This window comes from Homo sapiens, chromosome 5 (genome assembly GCF_000001405.40).
Source record: "Homo sapiens chromosome 5, GRCh38.p14 Primary Assembly".
NCBI lineage: Eukaryota > Metazoa > Chordata > Mammalia > Primates > Hominidae > Homo > Homo sapiens.
This window is the reverse complement of record NC_000005.10, coordinates 98,385,382-98,406,558: the sequence shown is the minus strand read 5'-3', so window position 1 is coordinate 98,406,558 and position 21,177 is coordinate 98,385,382. Positions and strand designations below refer to the sequence as shown.

Genomic DNA, 21,177 nt, shown 5'->3' with positions numbered 1-21,177 from the left:
CCACAAGCATGTAAATCTCTACGCTAACACTGCAAGGCAGAAATTCGATTTTCATAGTCCTGAATATACATGTCTCAGTACAGCTTGAGTGAGTGAGTGGCCTGAACAAGAGATTTGAGGGAGGTGAAATCAATCCACTCTGTTAAAATGTCATTTAAGTTTTAGATGTGGCCATGGACCAGGAGGTAAGATAGTATTTCATTCAATTAAAGTTACCTAGAGGTTGCATGAAAAGTATATGAAAATCTACTCAAACTATGTGGGAAAAATCCATGAGTGTCTTCTTTATTTTGATGGTTTTGCAAGTCTGAACTGTTTTATTCAATATAGGTGTTTTATGTATCCCCGGGCTCAGTAGGCTCAGGTGCTGGGACTCATGGGGAACATGGGGACTCTCCCTTGGTTATCTCATTGGGCTGTGGCTATTTTGCATAGATGAAGCTCTCTAGGTTTTGAAGAGCTGAAGCGACAGAGGGCCTGAGACCCCTTTCCAGTTGTGCCTGCAGAGGGTACAGCTATGTGTCTTCAGAGGTCCTTGAATCTGGTTAAAAAAAAAAAAAACCCAAAACCCAAAAAAGTCTGTATCACTATTAGGTCTATCATGTGATTACTCTCCAGATTCAGGGGGAGTATGTGAACATACCCTCTGGGAGGCAGCGCATCTGCCCTGCAGTGGGTTGGTCAAAGAAGAGAAGAACTGGTGATGGCATTCCTCCAGAGTTGCAGGCAGTGTTGACAGCAATGCTCAAAGAAGTTTAGCTTGTGGATCCTTCAGGTGAGGATGATATCATGGATGTCCAGTATGGAGACATTGAGGACCAGGGAAAATGTGGAAAACTCTTGGTGGACAGGCATTATGGCCCCCTGAGTCCAGCCTCATGAGGGCACTTATATAGGGACAGGTCCTTCTGTAGGTAGGTGCTGTTGGCAGAGACTTGAGCTTAATATGGTTGATCATGGGAGGTTGTGGAGTCACCAGGGGCTTCTCCTTACCCTTGAAGACTAAGGAATAGAGTGCCATGGGATTTAGGACAAGGCTCTGCCAGATTCTTGTTAGCATTAAATTACAGAAATCTTTTTTAGTTTACATAGTAGTGTTCATGCTGGGAGTGTTCACTTGGAGTTCCTGCCCTGCCACAGAATAGGCACAGCAGCCCTCCCTGCCAGTGAGCCTCTCTCTGGGGTCAGCTAGAAGAAGGGGTAGGCAGCTGGAGGCAGTGTACACATCACTACTTTTAGCGTTTAGACTTTTTTTTTTTTTTTTTTTTTGCCTATTGATCCCTGAGTCTTTTCCTCAGTTAAGCCTCCCAAGCCACGCCATTGAAACCCAATTATGAACTGAAAATGCCCTCTGCCTACCAGCATCACTCCCCAGCAGTTAGTGGCATTCCCCCAATGCGCTATCATACACTTTCATTTCTGAGATTTTTACAAAGTCCCCTTGAAGACTTCTTTTTCTTTAAGAAGGAGGTCTGCCAACTATTCATCTCCCATGCACAAGTGGTTCTGTAAATGCTATAGTAAAATGTCTTCTACATAAAACAAAGCCACAGTGGCTAGAAATATGTTAAAGCTTTGTCTCATTAATTAGTTTTGATTCTGAAATTATATGGAATATTTGTGGGAGAGGTATATATATTTTGTAAAATAATTACTTTTGTCTTAAAAGTAACTCTCTCTAACATGAGCTCTAAGAACCTTGTTTGAAATTTCATTACATGGTCAATTCAGCATGTAATGAAAAGTTCAGGGAAGGATTGGAGTGCATAACTTGGGCCATGGGAGACATGGATATGTTTCATATTTCTTAATTTATACCTCTTTGTAGAAATGGGTGAATAATCCCAATTTTCTGCAGGAATAGAGCCACCGTATAATATTCCAAAAAAAAAAAAAAAATCCATGGGTTGCTATGGAGATGATAATGCTTGCAGTCCCTGGGCTCTGCCCACTGGGGATCCCAGGGAACAGTTGCTGCCAGGGTTTCTCCCCTTCTGTGTCCCTTGGTAGAGGATCTGTATCCCAGGTGATGCTCAGGCTCTGCTCCCAGCCCCAGCTCCACCTGGAAGAGGGAGAGGTCTTCTTGGGGAGGGACGTCCTCTTAGTCTAGCTCTTTCATCATGTGGAAATGATGCCTCTCTCTGTATTTGGAGAACTGGGTTGGCTACTTGTTTGGTAAAAAAGCTTCAAGACATTTAACCGATCATGGAATACTTCTAAAAATGCTGACAGACTCATCACTATTTCTTTTATAACTGTATTAGTTTCCTATTACTGCTGTAATGAGTTACTACAAATTACCTGGGGGCTTAAAACAACATGAATTTAGTCTCTTACCATTTTGGAGGCCAGAAGTTCAAAATCAGTCCCATTAGACTAAAGTCAGGGTGTCAGCAAGGCTGGTTCCTTCTAGAGGCTCTAGGGGAGAATCCATCTGCTTGCCTTCTCTAGCTTCTGGAGGCCATAGTATTTCCTGGCTGTGGCTCCTTTCCTCCATCTTCAAAGTCAGCAGTAAATCATCTCCAAATCTCTTTCTCTCTGTCCCTCTGCTTGTGTCACCACCTGGTCATCTTTCTCAGTCTGAGACACCTCTCTCTCTCTTCTTGTTTTTTTTTTTTTTTTTGAGATGGAGTCTTACTCTGTCGCCCAGGCTGGAGTGCAGTGGCACGATCTCAGTTCACTGCAACCTCCGCCTCCCGGGTTCAAGTTATTCTCCTGCCTCAGCCTCCCAAATAGCTGGGATTACAGGTGCATGCCACCATGCCCAGCTAATTTTTGTATTTTTAGTACAGATGGGGTTTCATCATGTTGGTCAGGGTGGTCTCGAACTCCTGACCTCATGATCTGCCCGACTTGGCCTCCCAAAGTGCTGGGATTACAGGCATAAGCCACCGCGCCTGGCCACACCTCTCTCTCTTATAAAGACCCTCGTGATTACACTGGGCCTATTCAGATAATCCAGAATAATTTCCCCATCTGAAGACCCTTAATTTGATCATGTCTACAGCCTCTTTTACCATGTAAGGCCACCTATTCATTGTAGGTATTCCATATAAGGCCACAGATCCCAAGGATTACAATGTGACATCTCTGGGGTTGGGGAGGTGTGGGTATTATTCAGCTTACAACAATAAAGAATGAGTGTAGAAATATGAAGTTCGTGGCCTTATTTGCAGTATGTCTTTATGCAAAGCCTTTTACAAATCATTTCCAGGAAAATCCTTAGTTCTGGCAGAGACCTTTTATAAAAACCACTTCAGTATAAAATTGTCCTATTTTGCCACTGCCAAGTTAACAAGCAGTTTAACCACAGGCTGTTTTGCAAATGTGATTTTAAACAGCCAATTACTTTGGATATATTTATTATTTTGTGTTCAGTGTAATGGCAATGAATTCAATGAATTAATATTCACATAGTTGTCACATGCCATTTCTAAAGAGTTCTCCTTGAGCCCAATGCTCATTAGAATTTCCTAATAAACACTATAAAATGACTCTATCCTGAAATATTGTCAAATTACAATGGAAAAAAATCACATACACAAAATCCGTGTAACCAGGCATAGGAATTCTGAGCATCTCCTTCCTTCTCTTTCTTTCTCTCTGTGTGTCTCTCTGTTTCTGTCTCTCTCTCTCTCTCTCCATCTGTCTGTATCTGTCTCTCTTTCTTTCTCTATCTGCCTCTGTTTTTTTGAGCCCTTACTCTGAGGGAAGCCAGTTACCATGTTGTGAGCAACTCTTATGGGGAGACTCATTTGAGGAGAATCTGGTGTTTTCAGTCTAGAGTCAGCAATGACCTGAGCATGAGGTTGGAAGCAATTAGAAAAAAAAAATTCCTGAAAACATTTATCCAAATTAAAGCTGCTGAGAAATATAAGGAATAAATAAGAGCTTCTTGGTACCAAAGAAACGAAGATTACAGAATGTCCTTTGTTAGTCTTAAGAATGAAGGGGAAAATGAAAATACCCTTTCTCAGTACAAAGAATCAGTGAAGAGACTATTAAATTTGACATGAATTATGAAGTAGAAAAATTTGCTTAATTTATTAATTTTATGATATATGTAATCAATATCTAATTTGGCATAACACTGTAAATGTTTTTTAAAAAAGTCTCTGAATTGACTTTGGAGATAACTGCATCCCTGGCCAACACCTTGATTGCAGCCTCATGAGAGGCTCTGAGACAGACCCAGCTAGCTAAGCTGCTCACAGGTGCCTGACTCACAGAGCCTGTGAGATAACAAATGCTTGTTGTTTGCAGTCATGACATTTTGAGGTAATTTGTGAGGCAGCAATAGATAACTAATACACCAGCCTTGAGCATCTTAAAGTCTCATAAAAAATTAGTAACTTACTCAAGACTGTACCTTCAACCAAATGTTGGATTTTGACTACTCTGCAAAGGCAGAGGTGGAGGAAGGGGAGAGCTGAGCATAAGGCAAAACTCTGTTCACCCTAAAAGTTGGACCTGTGTATTCCTATGACACTGACAAAGTGGACATGCTGAGAATACATTTGCATGGGGCACTTAAAAGCATCCTGGGAATAAACTCTTCCTAAAAAGATTTGTTACATTAGTCAAGTCCTAGTGTTAGAAAAGAGTGAACACAGCTTGATGCTTTACTTAAATGGACTGCTTGGCCTGGACAAACAGGAATGTGGAGAAAGCTGCTTTGGGAAAAATGAAATAAAGTTTTCTAGAAAAGACAAGTATTCCAAAATTTCTGGGAGATGATATACTGACCACAAAGCAGCTGTGCTTTGTGCTCCCAGGGTGTAACTTTATCATGAGGAAGAGGGGCTTCCCTTGGAGTACCTTGGACTGCAGAGGGCATAAGTGTGAAATGGCACTACCTTCCCTGCCTATGGAGAGGGGCCTGGAAGGGGTTTCACAGACAGAAGCCATCTGGGCCACCACAGTGTGTCAGAGCCAAAGTAGGGAAGGAGGGACTGGCAGAGGCAATGTGAGAGCTCAGAAGTTTCTGTGTATGGGCACCAAGGAAAAGGAAGCCTGCAAATTCCACAGTCATGAAACAGAGCCAAATTAGAGAAATAATATACTGCCATTATGATTTTTCTTAATCCTCAGGCTGGTGTGCTCTGTGAAACAGAAATTATATTCCTTGGGTTTCTCTGGGTAATTAGTAACTCTAGTATGGCATCTATTTATAGCATGGACTAATTGCTACCCAAAGATTAGAACTAACTGCCTTGTATTAAACAGATAATAGCATGAGCATAGAGAAAATGTGTACTGCCAGAGATTATTTATATATCCCCAAGCCTGTGCATAGCAATAGAAAACTGGGTTAGAAATATTGTTGCAGCTAGTAGAAAAGACTGTTTAGTTTCCAAGGGAAAAGTGACGGTCTTCCCTGGAGACCAGAGGGTCCCTGCCAGCATTAGGCAAAGAACGTTTTGACCCTAGCTGGAACTTTCCACCAAGGCATTATGTAAAAGGAGGTAGGGATGGAAAATAGAGAGAAAAGTGTGTTGATTGAAGCCTACAGGATCCATAGGGAATAACATCTGCTCTATCAAGGCAAAGAATGTCTTACAATTGTGGGGGAATGCTTGGTGATGGGTACATAGGTGTTTTAAACCAAGGAAAAAGCCCCACGACCATATGGATTCCATTTTTAAAGGTATATCAGACTGTAGGACATTTGTGCTTGTAATTGTGGAAAAAAAGCTTTTTTATTGAAAGTAATAGAAATAGTAGGTGAGATGAGGTTCACTCTAAGCAAATGGTTGCTATAGTAAAATATTTTAATGGTGGCTAGGATAACAGGAAAGAAAGTATGATTCCCATACTTAATACAAATTGATAGAGGAGGAGAAATAGAAAGTCATTTATAGCAAAAAAGATGGGCAAAACCCAAGATGGGGAAGCACTAATCATTGGAACAGCTACCAAGTTATCCAGCATTTCAAGGCACTATCCTAGAAGTATCTTTGAGGTGACCCAAACTAGTGGCCGATCATTAAGTTCTTCCCTAATATTGTGTGTAATAAACATATAGAACTGTGAGTTGGAACAACCAACCATTTCATTACTGTTTCATTAATACCATTTTTTCTTGTGGCACACGACCACAGCAAAAGCAAAATTTTAGTAACTTAAAAGTCCAGTTTTACTTGGTAAGCCATGTCAAGCCTAGCTTTTCTGGTCTTTTAAACATGAGGTTTAATTAATGATGGTTTGATTCCATAGCTCCCAAACTTTTTGTGCAGTAGGGTGGTGCTACTCAAAGTTTGGATCCAAGCTCCCTGCACATCAGTCACCTTAGAAGTGTGTTGAGAAAGAAACACACACACACACACACACACACACACACACACAATGTATATATATATATATAAAATATATATATTTATGTGCGTGTTATATATATACACACACACGTGTGTTTTATGTGTGTGTGTATATATATATATAGAGAGAGAGAGAGAAAGAGGTGGGGCCTGGGAATCATAATTTCAACTATTATGCTTTCCTTCTTGAAGTGACAAGTACTGTAGGGACTGTACTTTGAGAAGCCTAGTTCCAGGGAGATTTTGATTGATGAATTCTGAGGAAAGGCAGGGGGAGGAAGACAACCACCAAGAAGGAAGTGCAGAGCAGGGAATGTAGTCAGAAACTCCATGATCTTGCCTTTCAAATTGCTTCAAATTGATTTCAAATTTGATATTAACAATAGAGTTTTGTCTATTCCAGTTCCCATAATAAAGACTGGAGGTAAGTTGAGATTCAATCTCCCACTTGCTTGTGCCCCGAAGATCCAAAATTAAAATTTGACTCTGGGGACAAAGAGGGTACTGTTGATGGTATGGCCTGGAAAATCAGCTACAGGCTGGACCTTAGTCCACTATTAGCCCCTAAGCTACAAAAGGGAGTTTTACAGAATGTAGAGAAGCCTTGTTATGGGATAGTATCAGTAATTATTAGGATGATAATGATAATAGTGAATGTTCCTATCATTTACTTTTAAACACAGACTTGAACAGTCTTAGGTAATTCTTATGATAACCATATGATATCAGATGAGGAAAATTAGGCTTAGTAACTTACCAAGTGTATTTTGCTGCTATGTGGACAAACTGGGCTTTTAATTTCAGCCTGTTTTTCTTCAAAACCTATGAACTATATCACTAGTCTCTTTGCCTCCTTAAGTGATACTGTGAGGGAAAGGATAAAGCTATTCTAAATTAACTTTTCACAAGAGTTGTTAAATCAACGTTGATTACACTACTTCTGTGATTAGAGCTTCTGGAAAGTCTCTACACAGGTGGCTCTTGGCTATTTATTGTGTAGGTAACAGCATCCCTCAGAGTCAAGCCTAGGAAAAGTTTCTGTTTATCCCAATAAAAAAGATTTTCCATTTCTGGGACTAGAGACCTTTTAAGGATATTAGCAGGAGGAGTGTAGTTGGAGTCCCAGTTGAACCTAAATTGAATGCACTTTAGGACACGTAGAGACAGATTTTTATGAGAAAGCAAACCTCTTGGGAAATAACTATTACAGGGGAGAAAGAAATTTGGCACATAGCTATGCCCAATAACATGATAGATACTGGAAGTGAAGAGCTGTTTTTAATATAGAATAATGCCTATCACTCAGCTCATCCTTCAGCCTGAAACGACTTAGGTCAAGTGCTAGGAAAACTGAGGTAACACATGAAAGGGCTCTCTTATCAAAAGGTCTGAAATCACTGGGAGCTCCATAACCATATAATGTACTGTGCCATGTGGGCTGACTCCCTGGGATTCATTCTCCCCTACATGTGCAGAGAACAGACAACAGAGAGTGCCTGCCACCTGATGGCATCAAGCATACGGGAGGCCGCCCAAGGTTCACAGCTTTGGGCACCGCATCATGTTTGGCACAGCAGAGAGGATTTGGCCCAGTGGGGCATGTGCATAGTGCGTGTTCAGTCACAATGATCAGGATTTGTGCCAGATATTGAAGAAAGGGGCCTTCATGGGATTTTATAAGCCTGAAGCCAAAAGAGAGAAAAAAATGGCAGTGATTGCGTGGTATCTGAGAGAGCTCTGTGCTTCAATCCATATGAGATACTTTTAGAAATAATAAAGGGAAACTTTGAGGGACTCCAGGTATTTCAAATAGTGGGTAGAAGCAGGCCCTAAAGAGTCCATTTATTACAATTAAAACTGTGGTATCTGGCCTCCCAAAGGCCTCCCAGCAGTCCTTGGCTTCTGATATTCACGTCCTTGGGTAGAGCCCATATACATTAATTAGTGCTGACCCATGTGACCAGTAGAATACTGTGGAAGCGATGGTGTATAATATCTGAGGTTAGGACATAAAAGGCATTGCAGCTTCCACCTGGTTTTTTTTTATTGTGGGAGAAACTAAACTTCATGCCTTAAGGAAAACCAAGCAGCTGTATGGAAAGGCCCACAGGGAGGGTAACTGAGACCTCCCACCAAAAGCCCACATTTGCCATCCATGTGAGTAAGCATATCTTTCACACATAGTCAGGTCTTCAGATGACTGTGTCCTGACCCATATCTGACTGCAGCCTCATGAGATATTGAGCCAGAACTGCTCAGACAACCCTCTTCCAAATTCCTAATACAAGAAACAAAGAGAAATACTAATAAGTGTGATTAATAGTTTTTTTAAAAGTCACTAAGTTATAGAATAATATGCTATGCAAAAATATGAACTCCATTTTTACTCACAGGATAGAAAGACCTGAGGAGAGTTTGGGTAAGACTTGAATTGCTCCTTAAGTAAAGGGTGGGATTTGGCTGGGTGCTGAAACAATGAGAAGACTTTCTTGAAAGAGGGATGAATATTGCTTAAGGCAGAAACACAGATACATCTATATTCAAAGGGACAGATTTGTTCAGGTTTGGGTCATAATCCTGAAAGACAGAATTCTGAGTGCCATAAGATCCCAAAAGATCAAATTTCCTAAAGATCAATATTCCTAAAGTCTAAAATTGCTAACATCTAAAATCCTGAAAATCACAATCACAGGATAGTTGCATTGTTAGGCAGAACAATTACCTTGTTACTGTCTTTTTGCAGAAGAAAATGAATTTCACTTGAATCCCCAAGCTATAATGACACATTTAGAACTAGGTGCAATCAAGGCTTTAAAAGTGAATTTCAAGGTGTTACCAATAAAGTTTGTTTTTTTTCCATTCAGCCAATGCATTTGGCAGAAAATTCAGATGAGAGGATTGGCCACATGTTACAGCAACAATGAGAACTTCAGTTTAAAAATGCGTCATTGCCTGCGTTGGCATTTCCTTCAGCTGATGATATTCCAGGAGCTTCTAATGAATTGAAGCTGCCTGAAGAAGCTCGTGAGGTTGCTGACTGATGCATAAATAATTATATGAATGGTAGGATAAAAAGACACTTAAGCAATGGTGTTGCTGTTTGATCACCAGTATTGTGTCTGCCAAATTTGTGGTCTTATATAAGTGCATGTGGAATAGATTTCTGTGTATGCAAAACAACACAGAAGCATGGCACAGAAGATGGGAAAATGTAATAGAAAATCTTCATGTCTGTGTATATCAAATCATAGAAGCATTTCAAAAAGAGCCAGCACCATGCAGGAAGTGAAGGTGAACATTCTGTCTGAGAAAAGCCATGTCCTGAAAGAAAACAAATCAGCTGCTCATTGTGATGCTAGGGTTCAAAATATTGTTAATGTTGTGAAAATCAGCCAGCTCCTATGAACTATCATCTCAGTGCAATTGCCCATAATCTATCCTTGTAATACAAATTTTTCAAATGCTAAATTTTCTTTTTAGTTTTCTGGAGGTTTTTTCTTTTTTTTTTCTTTTTTTTTTTTATTTTTGTTTTCACTTTGATTATTTTTATTTATTTATTTATTATTATACTTTAAGTTTTAGGGTACATGTGCACATTGTGCAGGTTAGTTACATACGTATACATGTGCCATGCTGGTGTGCTGCGCCCACTAACTCGTCATCTAGCATTAGGTATATCTCCCAATGCTGTCCCTCCCCCCTCCCCCCACCCCACAACAGTCCCCAGAGTGTGATGTTCCCCTTCCTGTGTCCGTGTGATCTCATTGTTCAATTCCCACCTATGAGTGAGAATATGCGGTGTTTGGTTTTTTGTTCTTGCGATAGTTTACTGAGAATGATGGTTTCCAATTTCACCCATGTCCCTACAAAGGACATGAACTCATCATTTTTTATGGCTGCATAGTATTCCATGGTGTATATGTGCCACATTTTCTTAATCCAGTCTATCATTGATGGACATTTGGGGTGGTTCCAAGTCTTTGCTATTGTGAATAGTGCTGCAATAAACATATGTGTGCATGTGTCTTTATAGCAGCATGATTTATAGTCCTTTGTGTATATACCCAGTAGTGGGATGGCTGGGTCAAATGGTATTTCTAGTTCTAGATCCCTGAGGAATCGCCACACTGACTTCCACAATGGTTGAACTAGTTTACAGTCCCACCAACAGTGTAAAAGTGTTCCTGTTTCTCCACATCCTCTCCAGCACCTGTTGTTTCCTGACTTTTGAATGATTGCCATTCTAACTGGTGTGAGATGGTATCTCATTGTGGTTTTGATTTGCATTTCTCTGATGGCCGGTGATGGTGAGCACTTTTTCATGTGTTTTTTGGCTGCATAAATGTCTTCTTTTGAGAAGTGTCTGTTCATGTCCTTCGCCCACTCTTTGATGGGGTTGTTTGTTTTTTTCTTGTAAATTTGTTTGAGTTCATTGTAGATCTGGTTTTTTCTTTTTTTCAGTTTTTTTCCCAGTATTTTACATTCTCAGCATTTTTTTTCTTTTTCAATTCTCTGTGATATGTATTTTATCTTTGCATCATTTCCAATACTGGAAGTATAAATCATGTAGAGACTTCTAGAAATGTCTAATTTGTTTTATGCATTTTTTGTAAATATGATTCCATGAAAGTGCATTATCACAACATTGACTTCGAGTGTAAGCATTGGAGCACGTATGTAAAAATATTGGAATTTCCTCAGTAAATGAAGACAATTTTTGTACATCTGCGTTTGTGAAAGATAAAATTTTTTGAGATCTTGGCTCTTTGGGTGATTGGTACAGTGGTGACCCATTCCAGTTTTCGATCAATCATGTCAAAAGACTTAGTTCATCCCTCACAGTATTTAGGACAGCAGTCCTAAAACACGCTATTACCAACCACAGTGATAGGTATTCATACATTTCGCTTTTGACCTATTTTTTTATGAATATAGTTCATCTGCTCATAACTGTTGTATCAGTGTGACTATCAGTATACCTGAATATTCATACTTGAAATTTGTGTTATTATTGCCTGTTATTGGGTAAAGTGGCTTATGAAGTGTTCTGCTGTGTTTTTGTATGTTTCTCAAATAAATCTCCTTTTAAAAATGTAAATATCTTTTAAATATTTTTAAAATTACTATTTGCAGAGTTATGGTGTCAGGATTTTGATCTTTTGTGAGTTCAACATTTGGATTTATGGTGTTCGTGGGTGTGTCTTTCGGGATTATCATTGGCTTCCATTTGTCCACAGTATTGAACATACAGTGAAGCAAGGAATTAGGTGAGATAGATTGGCTAGATCCAGGTTAGGGAAACCTTTATTTCTAATTTTAGGGCCTTGGATATAAACTAGAAGGCACTGGATATATGAGGTAGAAGAATAATGAAATAAATATTGGTTTTCCAGAATACTGTCTCATCTGGTGATTAGGAATTGAATGAAATAGAAGCAAGAAGACATTGGAATGAATAAATTGTTTGAATAATTTAATAATTGCAGATGGTAAATATGAATGAACTAAAAAACAAATACATTAGAGAAACTGGACTTTACATATTTTCAAATATAACCTTACTTTAGAAGACCAAGTAATATTAAACATTTCTTGTAAATCTTTGACTTAGAAGATTTTTATTCATTCATTAAAAAATATTATTTTTTATTATTTTTTAGTAAGTTGGACAGATATTATTAATAAATTTAATTCAACAAATATTACAATTAATCTTTCTTTACACAATGTCAGCAACATGGGGGCAATTATTAATTTAAATAGTTTAAATAATTTATTATCCTCTGAATTTATAGACAAAAATTTTAAGAAAATGCATAAAAGTATTTCTCCTTTATAGTTTTGTTCAGTGATTTTGTTGTTTGTTAATTTCTGCTTTGAAACTGCAAGCAGGTGTCTGAGAAAGAATTTCACTTTTCTCTGTCAAGATAGGTACTGACCTGGCCAGATAATCCCATTTGCTGGAACTAGGAAAGGAGAGATTAATTATTACTTCTATCTTTATTCAGCTGCATCTCATAGTCTTCCTTTTTATTTCTATCTTGCACTTCACTGTTTTTCTCAAGAACTCTCATCTCTGTGGAGGAAAAAATATCAATATTTGTGCCCATACCTAACAGTTGTCTGGGTCTACAGCTCTGAATGAAAACTAACATACCACACACCCAAAAGATGAAGTACTTATATCACCTCTACAGGCAAAGTATTCATGTCTATAACCACAAATCTAATCATTTAGCTGAGGTGCTAAGTGGCAGTTTTTGGAAATCTGTAAGGAATTTCTAGAGAAAAGGATATATTTAAGAAAGCTCACTTCTAATTTATATAATCGTTCTAATGTTCATGACATTTAAAAAAATTTGAAGGCTGTGATTATTAATGGTTGTGAAATTAATTTAGTGTTATAAGCATTTTTAAAATGAAATAAAATAGTGTTTAACAGAAAATGTCAAAATTAGTGGAGCACGGCAAGGATAGGTACTATGTAATAAAGCTTTTGATTCATGTTTTATATATGTTTGTTTTTGTGTGGGCCACGCTGTAATATTACCTCTTATCATGGGTCATAGTTAACATTTTTGAAAACTACTGATACTTTGGAATACAAATCCTAAAGTATAAAACGATTTTCCACCAAGAAGCAGCTTCTCTGCTCTTTCTGGGATCTCCGTCTGGTTTAGCCCACCCGCCTGCCTCCACTCCTGCTTCCACCTTGTCCATCAGGGTGACCCAGAAGTCCTACAAGGTGTCCACCTCTGGCTCCCAGGACTTCAGCAGCTGTTCCTACACAAGTGGGCCCAGTGCCCGCATCAGCTCCTTGAGCTTCTCCTGAGTGGGCAGCAGCAGCAGCTTCCTGGGTGGTCTGGGTGGAGGCTATGGTGGGGCCAGCGGCATGGGAGGCATCACCGCCATCACGTTCAACCAAAGCCTGCTGAGTCCCCTTAACCTGGAGGTGGACCCCAACATCCAGGCCGTGCGCACCCAGGAGAAGGAGCAGATCAAGACCCTCAACAACAAGTTTGCCTCCTTCATAGACAAGTTACGATTCCTGGAGCAGCAGAACAAGATGCTGGAGACCAAGTGGAGCCTCCTGCAGCGGCAGAAGATGGCTCAGAGCAACATGGACAACATGTTCGAGAGCTACATCAACAACCTTAGGAGGCAGTTGGAGACTCTGGGCCAGGAGAAGCTGAAGCTGGAAGCGGAGCTTGGCAACATGCAGGGGCTGGTGGAGGACTTCAAGAACAAGTACGAGGATGAGATCAATAAGCGTACAGAGACGGAGAATGAATTTGTCCTCATCAAGAAGGATGTGGATGAAGCTTACATGAACAAGGTAGAGCTGGAGTCTCGTGTGGAAGGGCTGACTGACCAGATCAACTTCCTTAGACAGCTATATGAAGAGGAGATCCAGGAGCTGCAGTCCCAGATCTTGGACACGTCTGTGGTGCTGTCCATGGACAACAGCCACTCCCGGACATGGACAGCATCATGGCTGAGGTAAAGGCGCAGTAGGAGGAGATGGCCAACCGCAGCCAGGCTGAGGCTGACAGCATGTACCAGATCAAGTATGAGTAGCTGCAGACGCTGTCTGGGAAGCATGGGGGTGACCTACAGCGCACAAAGACTCGGATCTCTGAGATGAACCGGAACATCAGCTAGCTTCAGGCTGAGATTGAGGGCCTCAAAGGCCAGAAGTTTCCCTGGAGGCCACCATCACAGATGCCGAGCAGAGTGGGGAGCTGTCCGTTAAGGATGCCAACCGCAAGCTGTCCGAGCTGGAGGCTGCCCCGCAGCCGGCCCAGCAGGAGGACATAGCGCGGCAGCTGCGTGAGTACCAGGAGCTGATGAACGTCAAGCTGGCCCTGGACATTGAGATTGCCACCTGTAGGAAGCTGCTGGAGGGCGAGGAGAGCTGGCTGGAGTCTGGGATGCAGAACATGAGTATTCATCCATAGGAAGACCACCAGCGGCAATGCAAGTGGGCTGAGCTCAGCCTATGGGGGCCTCACAACTCCCAGCCGCAGCTACCGCCTGGGCTCCAGCTTTGGCTCTGGCGCGGGCTTCAGCTCCTTCAGCCGCACAGGCTCCACGAGGGGCGTGGTTGTGAGGAAGATTGAGACCCGCGATGGGAAGCTGGTGTCTGAGTCCTCTGAGGTCCTGACGTCCTGACGTCCTGCCCAAGTGACAGGTGCGGAAGCCCCTCCCAGACTACTGCTCCTGCGGCTGCCCCAGAGCCCGGGAGGGAGGCCGTTGTGCAGAGTAGCACAGGGAACGGGGGACCCACCTGAGGGTCAGCCCTAGTCCTCAGCTCACCTGCCAGGGAGTTTACTGCCTGGGGACCCCCCTTGCCCATTTCTCCAGCTGCAAAACAATTTAGTTGCTTTATTTTTTTGTCCAAAATAAAACCTCAGGTAGCTCTGCCAGAAAAAAAAAAAAAAAAAGATTTTCCAGTTAAGTAGTAATTTTCTGAATAATTTTTCTCCCAAATTAGAAATAGTTGGTAATAGAAAATGGAAACAGATTATATAAGTAGCTACAAGAAGTTTCACACTCCTGTAAATTGTTCTATGACCTGTAGTTATGTACAAAATAAAAGTTCATAATTCCAACATTAGCTCCAAAAATGATATAATTATTGACCTTAGGATAACAATATCAACACTTCCTATCCAGGTCTCTTTATCTAAAACTATATAAGAAAAAAGTAATAGTAAATATCTTTTCAGAATATTGTTGCAGTATGTGACAGAAAATGACTAGAATGACTTGTGGGTACAGCATATTTAGCATTGCGCAGCAGTATGCTTCAGTTAAGTTCCTGAGAAAGTTACGTTTGTTCCTTATGTATGTTTCTCTGCCAACAAATTAATTATCCACCTTTTCAATGCAGTCCAAAGCAAACTATATTTTATGACACAAAGTCATTAAAAACTATGATCCAGGACAATACCTACAAAATGAAAGTAAAAATAAGAAAGAGAACATCAAAAATGCTTGTTAGAGTAACATTTTAATGAATTCAGTATAATAAATTTTTCCCATGACCTGCGATATTTGCATTAATTACTGCATCAATAATCTTGCATAGCAATATCTGGCTACATGGAATTATATGCTTTGGGGTCTGCTCCTCATTTCATACCCTGATAGTCTCAGATTTCTAGTCATCCTATCCTTTAACAGGATAGCAATAGTTGATGATATTGACAAACTTTCAAATTATGGTAGAATAGAAATGTAGAAAGAGCAAATTGGCTTAAATTTAAAACCACATCCATGTTCTAGTAATTGATATAAACACCTGGAGTTTGAGCAGTGACTTGCTAATTAACTCCCAAGTAACTTGGATTTTTCCTGCACATTTGCAATCTACATTTCAATGCAAATTAATTCAGTTCAATCCAGTAAATATTTGTTGATTCTCACTTAAATAGCAAGCACTGTTATTTTGCTGTTATGCTTCCTGCTCTCAAGGTGTTTATAATGAGGAAAAAGAGATAAGCAAGCACATAACTCAGAAATCAAGGCAGAATATGCTTAATGCCTTGGAAAAGATTACCAAGAGAGTGCTTTAGAATGCTTATGCAAACAGAAAAAGGTAGTAGCATGAGTTTTGACAGATAATATATATCTCAGAGGGGGTATTGTAAGGATTAAATGCAACATATAATCCAGAGGGAGCAACTGAGACAGAGTCTCAGCAAATATTAGCTATCGTTATTTTCATTTTTATAGTTGCTGCTATTTTTATTTTCCAGTGTAGCTTATTTAAATAAGAATGATCACATTTGTGTAGCTATCTGCGTTTGCTATTTTGATCGCCTTGAATTCACTGGGTTAGAGAGCTGACTAAATCAATTATATTGATTTCAAATCAATACATAAGTACGGCATGGTAGATTTTTAACACCTACAGTGCATTAGTTGTACCTGCTTGTTGCTATCACCACCTCTTCTGAATTCCACAAGAAACTCCCTCTTCAGGTTTGTTGGGATTTCCAAAAGAAGAAACGTATCTGGGAGTGAAAATTATTTCCTTGGTTTTCCTAGAGACTTCATTGTTCCTGTTGACATTCCTCTCTCCCTAAGTTGAGGAATTTCACAGCAAACTTTTCCAGCTTGTGAACTCCATCATTCCTCTTAAAGCTTAGCCGCACAAAGATCACATCATAGCTCATCAGAGGACTGTCTGCTTTGTCTGTGATATCCAGCTTAAGGGGCTCTGGAGGCTTGTCTTTGATTTTTATAATTATTATAACCATAGTTGAAAACATGTTTTGTTTTGTTTTTCTATCTTCTCAGTTAAACACTTTGGGGAGTAGGAGGAGCTTATCAGTTACTTAAACACTGAAATGTTTAATGTTCAGTTGCTATTATGCATTCAAGGTGTGGCAATGCAAAAATCGCTCTTTCTTTAGTGGCCTGTGATGAATGTCCCTATGTGCTTCACAGAGTATGAACAATCAAATCTCATGTTACCTCTTTGAAAATGAAAACCGGTTTCTTTATCTCTGTTCCACGTAGAGTCTGGCAAAGTTAATTCTCTGTCAAGGTATCAGAAAGACTAGATGAAGCCAATGTATTATTTTTATTTACTCCTGTCTTTGTATTTAATGCAAATTATATGTAAGATAGTAAATTTGGCTAAGAAATCATTGCACTGATCAACTTGAGAAAAATTCCAAGGACTTTCTCTCTCTCCATCATTTATTGTGATAATGCCAAAAGTTGTTGGTGTTTTTTAATGAATGACATTCTTTGGGGATATTCAGATTGTTCCATGTATGTCTTGGATAAATATTCATATTTTCCATTTAAAGGCAAAAAGGATGTATCCTAGGAAATAAACAGATATATAGCAAGGTTCATAGGGTTGCATTTTAACCTCCAATTAGATTGCTCTGATAGGAGACAGTTCCGTGTGATTCAGAGAAGAGATCACTGGAACTCAGGAATGAGACTAGTTCCAGATTTGCTACTCCCTAGTTGCATGACTTTAGACAATCTTTTAATTCCATATAACCTCAGTGTTCTCATCTGTGAAATAAAGAGGTGCATCCAATAAACCTTGAAGCTTCCTGTGGACTCTATAATTCCACAAATCTAACAAGCTATTGCCAGAAAGATAAAATTAACCGGGCATTGGAATTGTATACAATATCTAGCACATGCTAAAGAAAAAGACAAGGTAGGGAACTTGAATTATTAATTTCTCAGATATTCTGAGTATTTACTAAGTCCATGACATTGGGCTAGATGGTGTGTGTGTGTGAGTGTGTGTGTGTGTGTGTGTGTGTGTGTCTTTAGTGTGGCAGGAATCCTAACCTTAAGGGGCTTAGAATCACCCAGTGAGGAAGACTAAGTGTTTGCATGAGTAATCCTCACGGTAAATACAAACAAGGAACCTTCATTTTTAGGAAATTAACTAGGCAATTGAGGCACAATTCATTTTATCTTTTTAAGACAACCCTTGATGTTCTGTGATAAATGGCTCAATCTAAAATTACTTCAGAGTGAAAATAATTTTACTGCATATCAAAGCGTCACAATTTGTAGGCAAAATGTGTGGGTGTGCCTGTTTAAAAAACAAGTAATTAGGCCAGAAAACTCCACTTTTTTGGTTCTGCCTTTCCTGAAGACAAACCAATCCCAATCCCTGATTGATAATAATTTGTAAAACAGGTGGTAGGGCTGAACAGACAGATTAGGGATAGGTGTTAATCAAATTCACACTGTTTGTGTTTTTATAGGAAACCAGCGAGGAAATGGCTAGAGTTTGGGGCTGCTGGGTTCTGTTAGGTAAATTTTTAGCTTTGATTAATGATGCTACCAGACCATATTTTCTAATCACATATAACATGTTAGAAATCTATATCTTCACATAGGCTCCTCCCATTTCTATTGCAAATTGTTCATACTGTCCTCATTTCTGAGGCAGCCAAGCACTTAAAAAGATTTTTCTCAGTTCAGGTTTTGATTTTTCCTAAATGCTCAATAATAGATAAAAAGAAGCTTATAAATAAACTGTTCTTGATTCAGTATATCAACAGTAAGCTAATTTGTCACAGAAACAAGCAGAAGATGTTTTTTGAAAATATGTATTACACAGTTCACATACTGAGGCTGAGGAATGCCAAGTGGTTTATGAACACAGACTTCTTGTAGACATATATATGAAACATTGATGGCTGTTTATCAGGAAGAGAGGAACATGATTAGATTCGTGTTTTAGAAAGGCAATCTGGGGTGAGAAAGAAAAAAATGGGAATATAATTTAAAAATATGTTAACTTCAATGATTCAAGTGAATGGCTATACATATTTGTGCTAGGAGATTTAGAGGTGAAGCAAGAGGGCCAAATAGAATCCTCCAGTGATCATCCCCCACCCCTTGCAGGAACACCAGATGGAACTATCCACAAAAGAAAGCACCTTTATGCCATGTGTGGTGGCTCCCACCTGTAATCCTGGCACTTTGGGAGGCCAAGGCAGGTGGATGGCTTGAGCCCAGGAGTTTGAGACCAGCCTGGGCAACGACATGGCAAAAACCCATCTCTACAAATAATAAAAAATTCATCCAGGCTTAGTGGTGCATGCCCGTAGTCCCCACTACTTGGAATGTTGAAGTGGGAGAATCACTTGAGCCCAGAGGCAGGGGTTATAGTGAGCTGAGATTGTGACACTACACTCCAGCCTTGGTGAAAAAGCAAGGCCCTGTCTCATAAAGCACCTTTATAAGAACCAAAAAGCATGTGAGTTATCACAGTACTTGGTTTTAACATCACATTAAGGAAAGAGACGCTAAAGAGGGTAGGAAAGACAGTCTTGAATCTCCTGAACTATCCCTCCTCCATCTCCCAGCTGCACAGTATAACACCGAGAGAGAATCTGTGTGCTTGACAGAGGGGAAGTGCAGTGATTGTGGGCTTTGCATTGGAACTCAGTACCACCTGTTACAGCAGAAAGCAATACAGGGCAGAACACAGCTGGTGCCCATGGAGGGAGGATTTAGACCAGCCCTAGGCAGAGGGAAATCACCCGTTCCAGTGCTTGGGAACTGAGTTCCAGCCAGCCTCACTACCATGGGCTAGAATCCTAAGTGATCCAAGTGATCAAGAATCCTAAGTAAACTTGAAAGGCAGTTTACGCCACAAGGACTGCAAGTCCTGGTGCTCTTCTGGGCTCAGAGATAGTGTACTTGGGGTACACATGACCTAGTGAGACACAGCTAGAGCAGCCAACAGAGTGCTTGCTTAACCCCTCCCCCAACCCCAGGCGGCACAGCTCGCAGTTCCTGGAAAGACTCTTTCCCCCTGCTTAAGGAGAGGAGAAGGGACAGCAAAGAAGACTTTGTCTTGCAACTTGGCTACCAGCTCAGCCACAGTGGAATAGGGCACCAAGCAGGGTCCTGAAGCCCCCATTCCAGGCCTTAGCTCCTACCTGACATTTCTAGACACACTGTCGGCCAGAAGGGAACTGCTGCCTTGGACAGGAGGAGCCAGTTCCCTCAAGATTCATCACCTGCTTATTAAGGAGCCATTGGGCCTTGAATAAACATCAGCAGTATCCAAGAAGCAGTGCCATGGGCGCTTACTTGGGTGAGACCCTGTACTGTGCTGCCTTCCGGTGTGACAGTGGATTCCCAGCTGTAGTGGCCACAGAGACACTCCTTCTGCTTCGTGAAAGAAGAAGGAAGAGTAAAAAGGTTTTTTTTCTTGCAGCTTGTAGCAGCTCAGCTACAGTAAAATAAAACACCAAGGAAATTTCTAAAATCCCCAGTTCCAGACCTTACTTCCTGGACAGCGTTTCTAGACCCATCCTGGGGCAGAAGGGAACCCACTTGCCTGAAAGAAGAGACCCAAGCCTGGCAAAATTCACCACGTGCAGACTAAAGAGCCCTTGAGCATTGAAAAGAACATCAGTGGTAGCCAGTCAGTACTTACCACATGGGCAGTGGTGGCCGTGAGGAGAGACTCCTGCTTGAGGAAAAGAGAGGAAAAAAAAAAGAACTTTGTCTAACAACCTGAGTACCAGCTCAGTCACAGTAAAATAAAGTACTAAGTAGATTCCTGACATTCTCACCTCCAGGTTGTAGCTCCTGCACACCATTTCTAGACACACACTGAGCTAGAAGGGAACTCTCTACCCTAAAGGGAAAGACACAAGGCAGGCTTGATTCACCACCTGCAGACTAAAGAGCCCTTGGACTTTAAATAAACATCAGTGGAAGACAGACAATAGTCACTGCAGGCCTTCGGTGAGACCCAGTACTGTGCTGACTTCTGTCTGACCCAGCATAGTCCCAGTGGTGGTACCACAGGGGTGCTTCTCTCACACCTCCCTCAACTCCAGGCAGCTCAGCTCAGAGAGACAGAAACTCCGTTGGTTTGGGGTAAAGTGAGGGAAGAAAACAAGAGTCTCTGCCTGGTAATCCAGGTAATTCTGTCAGATCTTACCCAAGACAACCAAGGGGTATCTCTATGAGTATGCAAGAGTCACAGCATTACTGGGTTTGGGAAGGCCTCTAATGCAGATATGGCTGCAATGACCAAAGACTTAGATCACAGCACTCAATTCCCTTTGAGTAATTGGAAAGCTTTCCTAAGAAGAATGGGTACAAAATAAGCTCAGAATACAACAAACACCTCACTCTTCAATGCCTAGACATCGATGAGCATCCCAAAGTGTCAAGGCCATCCAGGAAATCATGATCTCACCAAACTAAATAAGGCATCAGAGACCAATCCCAGAGTGACAGAGGTATGTGATCTTCCAGACAAAGTATTCAAAATAGCTGCATTGAGGAAGCTGAACAAAATTTAAGGTAACACAGAAATTCTGAATCCTATAAAATACAT

The 21,177-nt window shown here is 40.5% G+C and overlaps 2 pseudogenes; both read left to right on the top strand.

The window, feature by feature from the left end:
* On the top strand, positions 3,838 to 4,016 carry MRPS35P2 (mitochondrial ribosomal protein S35 pseudogene 2; annotated as a pseudogene).
* KRT8P32 (keratin 8 pseudogene 32) lies at positions 12,949 to 14,743 on the top strand (annotated as a pseudogene).